The 18886-nt window shown below is 33.3% G+C and overlaps 1 pseudogene, besides 1 other annotated feature; it reads right to left on the bottom strand.

Moving 5' to 3' along the window:
- Positions 269 to 1468: an enhancer, noted in NCBI's record as "MED14-independent group 3 enhancer chr12:59751164-59752363 (GRCh37/hg19 assembly coordinates)". NCBI's record gives its function as "activates an origin of replication core promoter dependent on BRD2, BRD4, P300/CBP and CDK7 cofactors, and independent of MED14, by STARR-seq in HCT116 cells {active_cell/tissue: HCT116}" and the evidence as "EXISTENCE:reporter gene assay evidence [ECO:0000049][PMID:35650434]".
- Positions 11937 to 12037, bottom strand: RNU6-279P (RNA, U6 small nuclear 279, pseudogene; annotated as a pseudogene).

The raw sequence follows: 18886 nt of genomic DNA on the forward strand, positions 1-18886 counted from the left end.
AGTTTACCATAGTTATTTAATTCTCCCTAGCATCAAGAATATTTCCAGGCCTATAGCAGGTGCTTATTATTTGGTAAATGAATTCTTAAAGGGGAAGAAAATATGATCATTTTGAACTCCTCAAAAGTAAGCTAGATGACAATTTCTAAACCATTATTCATCACTGCACTGAGTTCATCTCAGTGCAGTGATGGATAATGAGATCAATAGAACACAAGTGAGAGTTCAGGACCAGAACTGAACATATATGGCAGCTTGAATTATGTCAGAGGTGGCACCATTGATTGTTGTAAAAAGGATATACTCTTCAATAAATATATTAAGACAATTGGTTATCCAAAGGAAAAAATCTAAAATGGAGTCTCTAGCTCCTATTCTATAAAAAAAGTGAATTGATGAAAGAATTCATGCAAAGTTCAATAATATTTAAAAACATATATAGGACTATAGAAATATATCATTATAACCTGAGAGTAGAAGTGGATTTACTTAACAAGACACAAAGAGCAAAAACCATAAGAGAAAAGATTGACATATTTGCCTAGAATCATAATGCAAAACTTCTTTCTTTCACCAAAATAATACCATAAAACATAAAAAAATCAATGACAGATCAAGAAACTATTTGCAACACCTGTAATTTACAAATGATTAGTGATGTAGAATATGAAAAAACTTCTATATTATGTAGGCATATAATAAGGGGGAAAAAAGAGCAACATTCACATACTAGTGATAGAGGCAGGAGGCAGACAAATGCCTAGGCAGATAAGTAAGGGTCCCTGGAGAATCTCCAACCCACCTCACTAGTGTTTGTATCAGATGTGCTTTTGCAGTTAAGAAAACCCTCACAGGGTCTTGCCTGGGCATGCCTGCAGTGGACTGGAGGCCCACATGCACTGTAGAGTGGGGTGGAGCCAGCAGGAATTTACACCTTATCCATGGGAGGATACCCTCTTCATCTCGTGTGTGGTGGCCTGGTATTTGATCTGTGAGGTGGGAGCCTGCTGGCAGGACCCCTCTCTCTGCTGAGAGCTCCCTTTTTGCTTAATAAATTCTGCCCTCCTCACCTCTCAGTGTGAATGTGTGTCTAACTATTCCTGGTTGTGAGAAAAGAACCTGGATTTAGCTGAGCTAAGGAGCAAAAATCCTTCATCAATAGCAATTTACAGAAGAAACCAGCCTGTTTAATTAATAGAAGATAGTCAATGACACTTATAATGAAGAGAATAAAATAAAAAAAACCATGAGATATATTTGCCATTCCTCTGAAAGGGAACAGTCTTAAAAATGGCAATACCAAGTTTTGGTATGCAAGGGTAAAGTGGTAAAACCACTTGGGAGATCAATGTGGAAATATCTAGTAAAGTTCCTATGAACCCAAATTTTACTCCTTATAATATATTTCAGGGAGTGTCTTACACACACAGGAAGGGAAAATGTATAAGAATAAATTTGAGCTACCTAAACATTTATAGAAGCTTTTATCTAAAAGTAGTATTTTATACAATGAATTATTGTACAGCAGTTAAAGTGAGTGAACTGGAGCTACATCTGTCAATATGGATGCATCTCTCAAATATAACACTGAGTAGAAAAAAGCGAGGTGAAGAAGAATACAAACATGTAAGTTATACAAATACAAATACGTAAGTTATAAAAGCTTGCAAACATTAATCTGTTATAAAGGAATACACACAGATTAATATATATTTATTATACATGTCTCATTGTATGAATGTAATTATCTTATAGGAATATGTACTAAAGAAATTTAAGAAAAGCATCAATGTCAAACTTCATCTATTAATTAGGGCATGGAGGGAGCTGAGGAGAGTGTGATGAGGGATCAAGGAAAAAACACAAGGAATTTGAAAATACACTGGTGATATTTTATTTCTCTTGTTGGGTATGTGCACATCATTGTCAATTTCATTTTCTTTTATATATTTGAAATATATTAAATATATTAAAATATAATTTTCAATAATATAATTACTATTATGAAAATCTAAGATGAATATGCATCAACAGTTTTGTTCAGCTCATTAGTTAATGAGGCAACTAGAAAGATGTTGTGACCAGTTGAAAGAATATTTGAGAAGTATTTGAGAAGCTAGAGTATGTAAAAGAAAGTAAGGTTTTTGAATAAGATACAAAACAGGTCCAATTTCATACTTTTGAGATGTCTGTTCAACTAGAGAAAAGCTATCTGGCGTCTTGTCCCCTCAAATCCCCAACTGCTTTGCCAGCCCTGAACTCTACTGTTTGTTTCTCCATAGCATGACATAGTTGTAGGCTCTATACTTTACACTTCCTATTTGACCTTCTTGCCTTCTGCTGGGATTAGCAAATACCCAAAAGGAAAATAGTGGTAGTGGAAGTCTGTCTTTCCTCAAAGCATTTCTCTTTTCTCCGGAATCTCAGCTCCTTAACTCTTGGCTCTTTGCTCACCAGATATCTTTAAAGAGGTCTCTTTTGAGTATCTTCTCTTCTCTTGTCCACTTTCACCATTGCTCTTGATGAGAGAGTTAGTCTAATACAAAGTACTTTATCATCAGTGAAAGCAGAATTCCCTTCTTGATTTTAAAAATCTTTTTAATTTCAGTATTTTGACAAAAGAGAGTTAGTCTAATACAAAGTACTTTATCATCAGTGAAAGCAGAATTCCCTTCTTGATTTTAAAAATCTTTTTAATTTCAGTATTTTGACAAAAGATAAATGTGGAATTTATTTGAGTAATAGGTACACTATATTTAGGATTGATGGAACAAATATTTTTCTTCTCAATTTTTATTCCTAATGATAACAGTAACAATAAAAAGGGGGAAGACCAGTTATTAAAGCCAGAGTAGAGCTGTGAAATACAATATAGTTTGTACTAAGTATATGTAGAAGGCCTAATGCAGGAATTGAGGGGAAAAAAAGATTACTGAAAGGAAGGCAATAAAACTAGAAGAAACACAATAGGAAACTCTAAGAGTCAGGAAACACAGGCCTGATAAAACAAATCAAAATGAAATGACAATGACAAGATAAAATGGTCACAGAGTTAAATGATTGATATGAACTGAAAACAGATATCTACAATGTGTGGCTAACATGTCTCTATAAGAATAAAACAGATTGAAATAAAATCAAACTTATAAGAAAAGTATTTTTCTGAAATATAATATTATAAGCAAATTTAAAAGCATGTTTTAAATTTGTGTCCTAGGAAGAGTTGACACAAAATTAATCAGTATTGAGATGTATCCTTGAAGCCTCCAGTCTTTCAAATATTAGAATCTTCAGGACATTCTGGCAAAGTACCAAATTGTATATGAAAGGGGCAAAAATCAAACTAATCTCAGACTTCTTTACTCCAAAATTCTTTACTCCAAAATGACAGTGATATACAGCCCATAAAAATGTCAAGATATTAAACTCTAACCTAAGATTATCCTTCAAGTAAAAATGTAAGAGTAAAGTAGTCCCAAACACATGAAAATTAAAACACTATGGCACCTCTAAACTCCTTTTACATAATTGAGTGAATAATAAAATTCTAAATGAGAAACACATCCAAAAAAGAGTTCAGAAGTGAAGAAGTAGTTCTAAAGCCATTTAAATACATAATGTAGCCCAAAAAATAGCAATAGTTAAGATAACAGAAAATAATATAAAAGTTATAAACTTTAAATGTATGAAAATTTTAAAATAAAAAAAGCAGGAGGTGAAAGCATAAAAGAAAGGCAAGTAGAAGAAAATATATCCACTGTTTTATTTATTACAAGTATTAAATAGAGGAATCATAGAAGTTTAAATATATTACTAAAATATGAAGTTTTTCGTAAGAACATAAAAATACTAAAATAAGCCATCGAAAGATGAGAAGCAAAATATATATAAGCTAAAGCAAAAACATGGATAATATAGTAAATGATAGAAATGGGAAATATTTAAAACACAAAATCTAACATAAATTAAAATGATAAATTGAGGAAAAATTGTTATATCACTAATTGTACCCGTTATAAATTAATTTAGCAAATAAAAAGTATTACCAGAAAATATATCTGATAGAATACATAAACTATACTTAAATAATTCTAAAACAAATTGATATTTAAATCTCTGAATAAAAGTAAAACTGTAACTATAAACAGATGAAGCAAATGCCAAAAATTAATAATTAAGAAAGCAGTGATTCAGCTAAGAGTATATGTACAGGTTGAATTTACAGCAAAAACTTCAATACAAAGGAAAATTTTATAAAGATTAAACAATGCAATTCCAAATGATCTCTTTAGCATGCATATTTCTATACCAAATAACATAGAATCAAAATCTAGAGAAGAATGCTGCAGGAAGCAAAAGTAAAAATAGAAAAATCTGTCCTAAAAGATATATGTATCCTTAAATGTTTTCACTTCTTTCAATACAAGACGAAGTAAACAAAAACATTTAAGAATATAAATAATATTATTAAAATAAACTAAAAAAAATTAAACTACATCCTAAAATAAAACATCAAGTTCCCATGAAACATTGACCAAATATTAGTTCCTAAAGGACACTTTCTTAAATTCCAACTGTTGAAATAGCAAGGACGACTGCATTCTGTGACAACTATGCAAAAAAACTAGGGATAAATAACCAAGATGAAAAAACTCAAAATCCAACCACATCAATCTAAAATAAGAAATTTATTTTTTATTTCACAAATTAGATCAAGGGGGAAAGCAGAAATTAAAGGATTGCTGGGAATTAATGGTAATTTCAAACATTACCTATAAATTAAAATACTGTATTTTTATTGAGAGCTTTTAGTAGTAGAGTCTGTGCAAAAAGGAAAATGCAAACAGATAAGAAATGTAGGAATTCATAAATTACATGTTGTATCTTAAACAAGAAAAAAATCCATGAAAGGTAAGGAAATAAAAAGAAGAAATAAATAGTTGCACAGAAACTGGTGATCAAGAATACCATCAAACTATAACCAACACATACAAGTTTGCTTCCTTCAAAAGAAAAGTGGAGCAGTAAGTAACATAATGTAGAATAAAGGGGTGAAGCCCAAATGCAGATAATTTATACTAAAAAAGGGAGAAAAAACATCAAACATTTATAAGACATAAAAATAAGTAAACAAAGAGCACTTTGATTAAATTTATGCAATCCTTGGTTTGTCTTTTTCTCAGAACATATAAATTAGGCAAATTGACTTCAGGTTAGATAAACAGACCAACTTTTTGGTTAGAGAATAAGAAAGGTTGTCAAACAGCAGTCCTTTGCCCTCTCCAAATATATACACATACAGAGCACTAGGGCATTTTTTCTCTGGTGAATTCTACTAAGCCTTCAAAAACATAAAATTCTTATATTATTAATACCAGTGTTCTCAAACTTACCAATCATTTGGAGATGTTATTAAAATACAGATTCTGATTCCATTGATTTGGGTGGGATGTATGATTCTAGCAAGCTCCCAGGTGATGCTGATGCTGTTAGTTAACAAGCCACATGTTGAATTGGAGAGGTTTACATTGTTTCATTACCTAGAGAAAGAAAGCTTCCAAGCACGTTTTACAAAGTGTACTCTAAAATTGATATTAAAAGCTTATACATATATTCCCTAAAAGACAACTACAAAACAGTTTCTGTTATAAATATTGATGGTATTAATACTAAGGCAAAATAAAATATTTACAGATAGAATCAAGTTGGTTATTAAAAGAAACACACAACATGATCAAATAGTGCAGTTCTACTAAAGTCCCCATGGTTTGGTGTTAGCAAAGACGTTAATAAAATCTACCATATTACCAGGTGAAATGAGAAAAACTTATTATCTTCATAGATGCTGAAAAAACATTTGATGAAATTCACCACACGTTACTTATTTTTAAAAGTCTAAGTAAAATTAAAATTATAGATTAAAACTGAATGATAAAATTTAAAAAGTCTCATTAAAATTAGAAACAAAACAAGGATTTTTGCTATCACCATACTTATTGTATATTGGGTTTCGATGACTGTGAAATTAGGCAAAACAGTATCAGATACTTTCAAAAGAGAAGGAAAAATGTACCATTATTTGTAATTGATGTAAATGTAATACAACTGGAAAACCTGAGAAAATTAATTGAAAATCACTAGACCTTTAGTTTATGATAAAGTTTGCATTTCAAATCAGTGGAGGAAATATTTCAATACTTGTGTTGGGATTACTTGCAGAGGCATATCTTACAGAGCCTAATCCTTACTTTACCTTGAGCAAGAACAAATGCTAGATAGAGAAAAAGTGCAAATGTAAAACAAACTAACAACAAAAAGCAAACAATAACTACCTGAACACCCCCAAAGCAAGTAAATATTTATACACACATGTAAACAAACAACCTAAAAGCAGCAGGAAAAAAAGATGGACTTCTTTTTCTGTAAGTCATAACTCTTTTATGCATTTTATAACAGAGAAGCTGCTGAGAAAAAAAAAATTGAATTATTTGACCAATTAGAAAGTCAAAACTCTTGAATAGTAAAAGTATCCAAAAAAAATCAAAAGACGTGGAAACTGGAACATATTTGTAACACATAAAAAAACAAATCTTCTAATGCCATATTGGCAAAGATTAAAAGATTATATAACAAAGGATGACCATCTTGCAAATAGATTGTGCTACAATCATATAATGTTACATGATTACTGCCATTACAAGAATGCAACATATTTATATATGCTGCTATGAAAATATCCACAGAATATTGTATTTGTCCCAGCAGGTAGAAACAAATACCCAAGTTGAATCTGGAATAATTTGTAGTCAAAGGAAGAGAACCTAGAGGGGAGACATTTTGAAAACAGAATCAGCAAAGTAAAGGAAGAAGTAAAAAATATTCTGAAATTTTTCAGCCTTAGTGACTGGGATAATTATTATTATTATTATTAAAACCTGAAAGAAAAGTTTATTGTTATTAAAGTAATACAAAAAGAGTACCAGGTATTGGCAAAATCTGAGTATTTCGAAGCCAGACTTTGATTCTCACGCTGTTACTTACTGGCTGTGCGACCTTACGCAGGTTATTATTTTTTCCTCTGTACCTCTTTTTCTCATCTTTGAAAGAGGGTAAGTATTCACAGAATTGTTTGATTTACAGCTCTAAGGATTAAAATAGTTAATATTATAAAAGTGCTAAGAAGAATGCCTTGCTTATAGTACATGTTAAGTATCTGTTAGCTATTAATATTAAAACAAATTATGGGGTGCTGAGTATGAAATACTACTTGAGCATTTAGGTCCTGAGGTACAGAAGACAGAAATGCTGGGCTAGGCTGGATGCTTATGCCTGCAATCTCAGCACTTTGGGAGGCCAAGGCAGGTGGATCACTTGAGCCCAACAGTTTGAGAACAGCCTGGGCAACATAGCAAAACCCTGTCCCCACAAAAAACAAACAAACAAACAACAACAACAACAAAAAAAAAAACGCAAAAATTAGCCGGGCATGGTAGCATGCACCAGTAGTCCCAATTCTCTCTCAAAAAAGAAGAAAAAAAAAGAAAAGAAAAGAAAAAAGAAATGCTAGGTTAGATCTTGGCATACAGACCAGAGTAATAGATATGTTTGCCTAGACTGAGGAGTTTCTCAGGATGGCTGACTCTCAGGGCAAAAACAAAGTTACCCTATCATTACTTGGAGTGGGGAGAGACAGTGCTCAGCACCAAGGTAGATTTTCTAGGCTGAAGCAACTTGTGGAATCTCACAAGTTGATGTTATTTCAGCCTCCTTTCAGAAGACGTTCTCTAATGACAGAAGGCACTTGCCAAATCATCTTCTAGGGAGAATGAAGGGGGAATCATGGTCTTGGGGTAAGATTCCAAAACCTAGCTGTATAATTTCCTCATGCTGGAATTGTGTCCCCTGGTATTAGTCAGGATTGTCCAGAGAAACAGAACCAATAGGAATATCTAGATATATTAAGAGAGGGTTATGGTGGGAATTGGCTCACATGACTATGGAGGATAAAATGTCTCATGATATGTTGTCTGCAAGTTGGAGATCCGGGAGAGCTAGTGGCATAATTCAGTTTAAGTCCAAAGGCCCAAGAACAAGGAGCTTTTATACCCAAGGGCAGGAGAAAATGTAAGTACCAGCTCAGTAAGAAAGAGCTTGCACTTCATCTGCCTTATCTGATCAGGTCCTGCTACAGATTGGATGATTGGATGGTGCCCACCCACAGCTGATAAAGGTGGATCTTGTTTGCTCAGTCTGCTAATTCAAACACTAATCTGTCCTGGAAACACCTTCTCACAGACACACCCTGAAATTGTATTTTACCAGCTATCTGGGCATCCTTTATCCCAGTCTGTTGACACACACGAAAAAAATTAACCATCATAGTCTTGATTGAATGATCAGGCCTTTAGTAACTAAGTAGATAGTTGTTGATTTTACTTCTATGTTAGTTGGTCTAAATGTGTCCTTGAGAATTATTAAACATATTAATTTTTTTAATGCAGTATTCTTTAAGCTCTTAGAATATCTGAGAAAGAAGCAACTTAATTAAAAATCAGCATCTGTGATTAGGAATGTGTTGTTCTTCCTGTCCGTGGAGTTTTAAAACACGTCCTCTTCCATCCAAGTTACACAAGCCTCACTCAGTTCTTGAAATCTCTCAAGAATTGCTGTTTATTTCTTTAGGGTGTTCCCCCACCAGGATCCCACAAGGTGAATTTTGTGTCTGTTAGAACATCCCAAACAAACCACAATAATTTACTCTAGCCAATATTCCATGATGGGTCATCAAATAAGTGACGAAGGTGACAGAAGTTTATATATATTTCTTGACCAAGAGTATTTGAAATTTCCCATCTCATGGAAATTCTTCTTTTCCATCAGTCTAGTGAGTGTGTGGTATAGTTTACCTTCTATGCCTAAGTACACACAAAACTTAGGTGAGGGAAACTAGATAAAATTTATAAAGTTTACCAAAATGTTGGTGCCAGGAGGTAGAGGGTGAGGTAATCATTCCAACTTAGTCTCTATTTTATATCGCCTCACTTATCTGAGGAGAAACATCATAGAATTTTTTTTCCATACAAAGCTCAAGGTGACTTTGTGCTGCAGGTTATTATATTTTAATCTCCAGATTAGATGCTTGAATACAATACAATCTGAAAAAAATTATATGTACAATGTTTAAAAGAATTGATAAGAAAGGTTATGTTTAGGTGAAGTTGAAAAAGGTCAACAGAATTGTGATTCAGTGTGGTAAACTTAATATATATGCACGAAAGAATGGCCACAGAAATGTTCTTTTTCCTACAAAATGTTTATTTATTTACTATTTTACACTCGTGGGGGAAAAGTCCTAAATTTGAAATTGTCAATAGTGTCATTTACTATTAATAGATTCACACCACACTCCTAGATTAACTTTTAAACATATTTTCTGACAAATTGTAGGCTGGTACTGATGACCTAGTTTCAGCAGTGAATAGCTGCCACTCAAATTTCTCAAGAGAGAACAAAAACTTCATATTTAAAAATACAGAATTTCTCAGTACTGTATAGCAAAAATGTTTATGGACAGAACCATGTAAATTATCATCATTTTTAAATATGTCTGAAAGATCCCTGTTAGAAAATACTCAGAGAGACAGCAATCTCTTAATACAAATTGAATCACCAGTAGTGTACTCATATTGTGACATTATCAAAGCATGCAAGATAGAGTATTTTGAGCATTGAAGAAGATACCATATTTCAATGTATGTAGCAAATATTAATGTATAATAGCTTAGTATAAACCAGGCTGATATGGAGCAAATAGTTCTCTTAAAAAAAAGCTGATGTGAAAGGAAGCAGTGAAGCAACAAAAGTTGATAATTCTTCATAAGGCAATTTAACGTGATAAGAATTGGCATTCTTTTCATCGCAAAAATGCTTATAAGAAGTAATAATTGTGGAAGCATGAGAATTTACTGCAATAAGCTGAACAAAATGCTTAAAATTCAAAAATACAATTCACCCCAAAGAACTTCAGATTAAAAATGAAAAACTGCTCAGAATATACATATTTACACTTATCTCTTGTAGAGCATATGTTTCCTTCCAAGCTACGCAGGGATTTACCATTTGCCATGTTTTCACAGATTAAATATTGTTAAATACTCCAAGGCACAGTTCATAGCTACTTTCAAGATTAAAACTAATTAAAAAATCTGTTTTAAATACATTCTTATTATTTGACACTTTAGTGGGTCTAAATCATATAAAGACAGTCAATTTTATTTTTCTATACTTCAATACTACAAATGTTAGTGTAGTGAATATTAATACGATCAATTGCAAAACATCTAATTCAATTATATATCCCTTTAATTCTGTACTAGATACTTTTACAAAGTTGGTAGAGATATTAGAGTCTTGAGTATTCTTTTTACCTCACTTTTCCTCTTCTATGTACAATTATGTGTTTATGTTTTTATCACTTTTTGCTTTTTTCCCACTATTCCTTATAAAAGCAAGCAATAATTTTAAAATATATAGGGTCCTCTGTGTTTAACTTTAATCTTTTCTTCTGCATCTTAATAGTAATAATACTACATTTGAAATTCAGGGTATAATATCTTAAGTGGTATGTCTATACAATTTCCTTAAGGTAATTACACTGTAAAATTATAATACATGCATTGGTACTACAAACTACAAATAGCCCAAACTGTATTCTGGTTTGTTTATGCTTATTTTAATAATCTTGCAATACATTATTTTTATGTACAAATTATTTTTGCTTGGCCTGTCTGGGCTAATATTGACATGTGTAGTATATGTTTATGCTAAAAATAAGAAGCTCAACCCTTAAAAATACATCCACTACACCAAAACCCAAAAATCACTTTTACAGAAACCTATCAATTAATGGGCTTATATCCAAACATCCAATGTAAGACATCAAGTATTTAATAAGTTAGGATTATATAGTTTGATTCAATAGAGACTCATGTCACATAGATATTGTATAGATACTTTACTGAGATTTTTCATTTTTCTTGTAATGGACTCCTTTGCTTAACAGTGTTCTGGGTTACAATTACTGTGTTCATGTTGTATATGGAAGAACAGATCCAGAATTACTTTATGAGAGAAATCATAATCTTATTCCTAGACAGCCCTCCACTCAGCTATGGAAATAATTTTGAAGTCTAAGTAGGCTCTTGAATGAACTACAGAAGATAGCCACCTTCCTCCTGCTGCCCTTTCTCCCAGCTCAGCTTCTAGCTGGGTTCCAGTTTCTTATCTTAAAGTAAAAATACAACTAGTGCTTACCTCATAGAATTATCATGTTGATTAGATAAAATATTTAAAGCGCTGTGTGCCAGACAGTATGTAGCATTCAGTAAATTCTCAATAAATATTAGCTGTTTAGATAACTGCATATTAACATAGTAAAAGCTCTAAGAAGTCCTTTAGTGAAGACATTTACTTTGCTTAACTTTATCTCAACATTTCCTTATCTTATTAGAGCCTATTTACAACCCACTATTGACTTTGGAAACAGGCTATTTGACAGGTATGCTGCCTGCCTGGCCACGTTGTTTTGCCCTTTTGAGGTAGGGGTGTGTGTGTGTGTGTGTGTGTGTGTGTGTGTGTGTGTGAGAGAGAGAGAGAGAGAAAGATAGAATTGTCATTTGCCATTATGCCACTGGCCAAGTTGAAACATATTTTATAAAAACATAACTATGATACTTCCTGTTTTAGATATTGAAGAGTTCAATTTGGTGACATTGCTCCCTACATTATACATTGTATCCTCCTTATAGGAATCCTCTGCATTAATTGTTCCTCTATATCAGATCAATGAAAAGCAATAGTCTCTTTATGATGTAACTTTTTAAAATTAATTTTTAATAGACTACTAACTATAAGCAAATAATTTAGAGTCTACATAGCAAAGTATTTTTGTTTTCTTTTTCGTGTCATCCTTGCACAGGGGCCATGCTAATTGTCTCTGTATCATTACAATTTTAGTATATTACTGCTGAAGCAAGCATGCAAAGTCATTTTTTAATGATAGCTTTAACATCTACACTACTCAGAATAAAAATAACATTTTATTCCTTATTTCTAGCAGGGTCTCTGTCAACTAGTAGGAAACCATTAAGTGCTTTCCTAATAAAATAATAAAAGCAGTTAACAATCACCATATTTATTTCATCTAGATAATTATGTTTGTAGTTATAATGCAAATATTCTAAGAAAATTATTTATATTGTTTAAAAACAGCAGGTTGTATCATATTTTACACTTGAAGCGGCCTATGAAAATCCAGTCTCTACCGCGCTGCTCTCCACCACCTGACCTCTTCCCAAAATGTCTCGACTTTGTTCAGGTTTCTCTACTTCTTTGCACTCAAAGAATTCGACCCATCCCTGGTAGCAGGAAGTGAATCCTGATTTGTCTAAGCTAGCAGATGGAGGTTCCATTCAACCAACCAATAATTTTAAAGTATGGGAATAGTTTGTAGTTCTGGCCAATTGTATGAGAAGAAAAATATATTGGGGGAACACTTGGAAAATTTCCTTCACTTTTTAAAATCAGAATATAAAAAGAGTTAATCTCCTTTGCTGGTGGTTATCGTTGCCATGTCTGGGTGTGATGTCTGGAACTCTGGGTAAGTCAAAGAGCAAAGTCAGTAAGTGTGGGGGTCGGCGGTAGAGCAGAGATACCAGAATAAACTAAGTTGTTCATTTTCTTTTCTCATCACTGGAATAACCAATCCTGAAGTTGTCCTTTCCTGTTATTTTCTGAGTTTCTTAAGTAGTGAATTAGTAAATTTTCAAATAAAACCCAACTAAGGCTATTGAAACCGTGATTTTCTGTCACCTGTAGTTGGAACATCCTAACTGCCATACTCATCTGGCTCCCAACACTTTTACTTGGAATTTTAAATCACCAAATGTACTTTTTGTATTTTAAACTTGTTATGTGTGATACTTTTACTTTCCTCTTATTTCACTAAGATTACAGATGCTAGACAACCCTTCTCTCAGATTCATTGGCATTTTGTTAAATTGAATTTCTTTTGCCTATCTTGAGAAATGTTAATCTGAATAGAAATGCTCTATTTTTAAACAGAAACACTTGTTAAAGTTACACTTCTAGAATACATAAATGTGTGGAAACTTTAGAAGCGATGAACACTTTTCCCTGATAAATGTCCCACTATTTTTGATTCATGGTGATTTTGTTTTCTTCCACATATATTAAAAACACAGAACATTTCAGTCTCATACTTTGGCAAATCTCAAGTAAACACTCCAGAACTGGCAAACTGATTGCAATCGAGATATTCTTTACAAATATCTTTAATTGCACATTTCAAAACTAAGTCCTCCTGAGCTTGAAATTTCTCTCAAGAGAATGTATCATGTGGAGTTTAGTAGAAGGGGCAAGCGCTTGCATTGCTCCTTATTCCTCATAGTGGTATTTGTATGTCTCGGTATTTTGGATTTGAATATCCTGCTGGAATCTGTCTTTACTTTTCTGCTTGTGAAACATACTAAATAAGGTAGAGGCTATTTCCCTGTAGGAAAAAATAAGCCAAAGGCAATGAATTCTGTCTTTATCTTGTAACGTATCCTTCCCATTAAGAGAAATCCATTATATCAAATATTACGTACACTGACAGCTGAAATAAAAATTTTTATTGGTTTAGTTTAGGGATTTGAGAAAAGAAAAAAAACTCATCCACCAGATAATTCTAAACTGGTAGCATTTTTATTCAATTGTGACATGATTAATTTTTTATCCATGCTAAACTTCTTCCACCAATTTCGATTTGCAAATTCAAATGAGTGTCAATAGACTGAAGCTTTATTTGTATGACTTCCTTTTAATTACCAATTTCACACATAGATAGACAATTGATGAAAAGTAGAGACAATGTCTTTGAATAAAGACAGATGAAAACTTTGTACTTAAGTAACTATGGGAATTACTAATTGAGTCAGCAAATAAAAATTTGAGTCACCATTAGGATCGGATGAAATTTTTTTCTGTGCAGTTACTGATATGTGTGTACTTACTTATTGCTAAACACAGTTTCTTCAGAAGTTGGTCAACTACTTTAGAAAGAAAACTTGCATATTCTCAGGGAGCCTATGCTATAAAATCCAATTATAATTTTTCTCCCAACAAAATTTTAGATTTCCGAAAAAATACATTCATAAGAATTTTTTTAACCATATTTGTTGAAGCCTAAACTTCTGGAGTTTACAAATAGATTTTTGTTTCACCAAATGTCTTCCAAAAGCAATAATAGTATACAAAATGTAATTGCATACTCATGGAAAAGGGTCTGTGTTCAAAGTAATTTTGTAAACAAAGCCTAAACAAAGTTATACTACAGAACTTCTACTGCAGGACTTCTCCAAGCTTTTAAATTGATAACGTTTATTGTACATATCAAAAAGGGGATAACAGAGATAGTATTTTTCATACTTGTTTCACCTTGGAATCCTACTGGCCACATGCAGGCACGTGTGTGTGTGTGTGTGGCGGGGGATGTGTGTTGTTAGGCATCCATCACTGTGTTTCAAGATATCCTGTAAGACACAACTTAGGAAAATAAGAAAAAGTATCAAGATGAGTGTCTTTAGTTTATTCTCACAACTTTGGGGAAACCTGAGTTGATTAAATAATGATGAAATATGTAAAGTTTACTTAATGGGGTACATTTGTACATGGGTGTTTTATTGATTTAAATATTGCTATAAGCTGTGACTCTAAAATTTTTTATCAATGTTTAGTAATTTTTTCTTATTAAACTTATACAAGGCCTTAGTCTCATAAATTTAGAAAGCATTTGAGCCATGTTTATATATTAGTACATTTTTCCAGTGTTTGAAGGAAATGTCTTCTCTTTAGTATACTAGGATGTTTATTAAGCGATGGCTTCATGTAATACAAAGATTAATATAATTTGTAAAATTAAATATCTTGGTCATTTACTCCCATATTTCTGGCACTTGTAATGAAAGAAAATGCATAGTCCTTCCTTCCCCACAATACATCATTTGCTTGTCAAGAAGTATTTTTCACTATAAACAAATATTACTATAAACAAAATACCTTGAATTTATATTTAAGAAAATCTCTTTTAGCTCTCTTATTTATGAACTAGCCATCTACTTCTATTTAGCCATCTGTCGTCATATCTTTGGTGAAGGAACATCTTTCAATTTTCTGCAAAGGACTAAACCTACTGGAATCATGTTCCTTCTCTCCAGATAACTTTAGCGTTCTCCCTGGGATTGCAGAATTAGCTGGTCTGCCTTTGGTCTCTTCACCTGGGTGAACACATTTCATTAGTTTGTTAGAAAATGCTTCAATAAATTTAACTCTCCTTTTCCTTTTTTTTTTTTTTTTTTTTGAGACAGAGTCTTGCTCTGTTGCACAGGCTGGAGTGCAGTGGCGTGATCTCGGCTCACTGAAACTTCTGCCCCCCAGGTTTAAGCAATTCTCTGCCTCAGCCTCCAGAGTAGCTGGGATTACAGGTGCGTGCCACCTGTAAAAAATTTTTTGTATTTTTAGTAGAGGTGGGGTTTCACTATCTTGGCCAGGCTGGTCTTGAACTCCTGACCTCGTGATCCACCCACCTCAGCCTCCTGAACCACTGGGATTACAGGCGTGAGCCACTGTGTCCGGCCTCCTTTTCCTTTTTAACTTCAGTGATTTGCTTAATACATTATTGAGACGTGATCAACTATAGCATCACTAGGGAAGAGTTAAGAATCAGGCTATTTTTCACCAGGAGGCCTGGATTGAAAACTCTTCACTATTATAAGCTCTGTGACTTTGATTGTAAACCAAATAATAACTCCTGGTTTGGTTTTCTCTTTTGTAAAATTGGAATCATATTTATGCGGTAGGACTATTTGGAGCTTGTCAGTGTGTAGATGCCTGAATAAGAATGATGGGGTATTTCCAGAAAGTGACTGGCTCAGGGTGAACCAAGCCGAACTCTTCTCCGGGGGAGGTTTATGCAGGGGAAGCAGTGGTGAGAGCACCACCTACTGGGGTAGAGCCATGAAATATACTATGTCTAAAGGGAGAGTTTTTATTGTAAAAAACAAAAAAGGTTGTGTTATAGACAATTCCAGTCTACAATATAATAGAATGAGATAGGCACTTGCTCTTTCTTATTCTTTCTTGGTCTCACTGCTTTCTCTCCTGTTTCTTCTTGTCAAGCCTCCCTCTGTCTGACTCTAACCTCCTTATCCCTCTCTTTTTACCATAGTACTTTCTCATTATGTTACTACGACTTTGCCAGTGTATTAAGATATTATTTATTAAAATATTGTGTATTCCATGTTCCCCATCCTAGGTGAGCTCATATGGCAGCCTCCAAAGGTAAATACTAGGAAGACTGAACCATAGTGGTAAAGACAAGAAGATAGTTACCAAAGAGTGACCAAAATTATGTTCTGTGGATATACTTGTGACATCCATAGAGTCAGGATGGAACAGGCTTGTCTAAGGTATGGAGTGAAAGGGGACACAAAGAAAAAGCAGAATGTGCTGTCCTAATGTGTTAAGATAAAGTTTATAAGTCAGAGAGTCCGATACATACTCATTGAAATGCATTTAACAAATGCTCATTGTGTACCTACTGTATGCTGCACATTGCTCTAGGTGTTAATTTCACAGTGAGATACTGTCTCTTTTTTCTTGGAATGTGTTCTTTAATGAGGGATAAAGACAATAATCACACAAATGTAACAAATGTAAAAATGTAATTTGCAACTGAGATGAACAAAGAGATTTAAGTGATATAATGAGACCCCATAATACAAAAACTGACCTAGTCAAAGAGAAAAAAGTTTTGTTTAAACTGAAATCTGTAGGGTAAGCAAGAATGAACTAGATAAAGAGGAGAGATGTACATTACAGGCAGATTAACAGCAGATGCAAAGGCTCTCCATTTCTCACATTTGAATTTGAAGAGCCACTAAAATGCCTAAGGCAAGATGTCAAGTAGAATTTATTATGTAGAGAGAAATAAAATAAAAATATATAATATGTAAAATATGTGTTAAAATATATGTTTTACATGCTGCCCATCCTAGGTGAGCTCACAAAATATATGTTTTACATGCTGCCCATCCTAGGTGAGCTCACAAAATATATATTTTACATGCTGCCCATCCTAGGTGAGCTCACATGACAGACTCCAGAGGTAAATGCTAGTAAGACTGAACCATAGTGTTAAAGGCAAGAAAGCAGTTGCCGAAGAGTAACCAAAATTATGTTGTGTCAGTATGCTTGTAACATGCTTGTGTCTGTGTGTGTGTGTGTGTATATATATGGATATATATATATTTGGAGATATATATATATATGGATATATATATATATATGGACTTTCAAGAAAAAAATAAAAAGTATCAGATTGAAACTTCCTCATTTTCTTTACTTAAAACATTTCAACCTACCCACATCTTCACATGTCCTTTTTAATTTTATACTATCCATTAGAGAACTAACATCTCGTTTTCTCCCTAAGGTGGCTTCTGCCACCTCTGCTGTGGGCTCTATTCCCTCTCACCTTTGGAGGTCATAAATAATAAATTTTTCTATTATTTAAACTTTTTCTCAATGTGCCATTCCCATTGTTTCTTAAATTGCTCAATCTTTACATTAAAAGAATAACAACTTATTAAAAAAGAACCTTACTTAGGGGATTTGAGGAGCTTCCAGGTTGGTGAGTACATCAAGCTTCTGGGAGAGTCCTGCCCAGAGAGGGCAAGGAAGCTCTCAACACCCCATTCTGATACTTTTTATTTTTTTCATTAAAATAGAAGTCAAGATGACGTCATGAGAGTAAGCAAGTTAAGGTTATTATAATGTTTGAAAAAATAGTAGAAAAGGTTTGAGATAATAGTAGAGAATGTAAGAGAGAGTTAGAGAATCAGAGAAATGTGGCCATCATGAGGGCCCATTTGAAGTTGTTACTTCTCAATTTACAGTGGAATTCATATATTGTCTAATATGATATTTTTCAGGGTTCTTAGGATAATCAGTGCAAGCTTAGAGGAAACAGATGGTTAGGTTCATTAGAGTAAGGGTTTGGGCAGATGTGTTCAATTAAAAATTAAGAAGAAAGGATTAAGTTTTGCAAAAGGTTGCTGAAATGATGAACTTTAAAATCTAAAGAGGATAAGAAGTGAAGGGACCACCAAAACAGGTGGTCCCTATTTCTTGAAGAACAAAATGTGAATAAGCAAGTTGAAAAGAGAGGAGGTAGTATCTTATATTTTATTTTCAGTTTTATAGTTGTTGCATGTGTTGACAAGAGCCAAAGTATGATGGCGAGAGTAGCTAAATTAGAGGAAGAGAAAATTATCCAAGGTGAATAATTTGAAGACCTGGGAGGTCACTGGAGCAGACATGCCATTCATGGGGACACTTAAGTCACCAGGGCAATAGCTAGATGTCAGATACAGAGGATTTCAGAGGAATTCTGTAAGCCAGGCCATGAAATCCCTAACAAATGAAAGGGAACCACATAAAAATTGGTGAAGATAGTAACACTTATCAATGTAAATGTTGAAAGCAAAGAGAGTACTATAGCTGGGTACTATAAATCTCAAAAAGACTTAATTTTCTTAAAAAGATAGAGAAATTATGATTCAGCAGAAGCATCGACAATAGGAGGAGGGGCAAAGATTGCACAACTCATCCCCGAGATTAGTAAGGAATGAGAACATCCGCAATTTGAGAAGACTCCAGAGAAAATGGGATATGGCGCATAGAACCAGTTTCACTTAAGTCAAAAAAGCTGAAGGAGCATCTTAAAGACATATAGAAATCTTCTAGGAGATATTGCATTTATATAGGT

Source organism: Homo sapiens, chromosome 12, assembly GCF_000001405.40.
Source record: "Homo sapiens chromosome 12, GRCh38.p14 Primary Assembly".
NCBI classification, from domain to species: domain Eukaryota; kingdom Metazoa; phylum Chordata; class Mammalia; order Primates; family Hominidae; genus Homo; species Homo sapiens.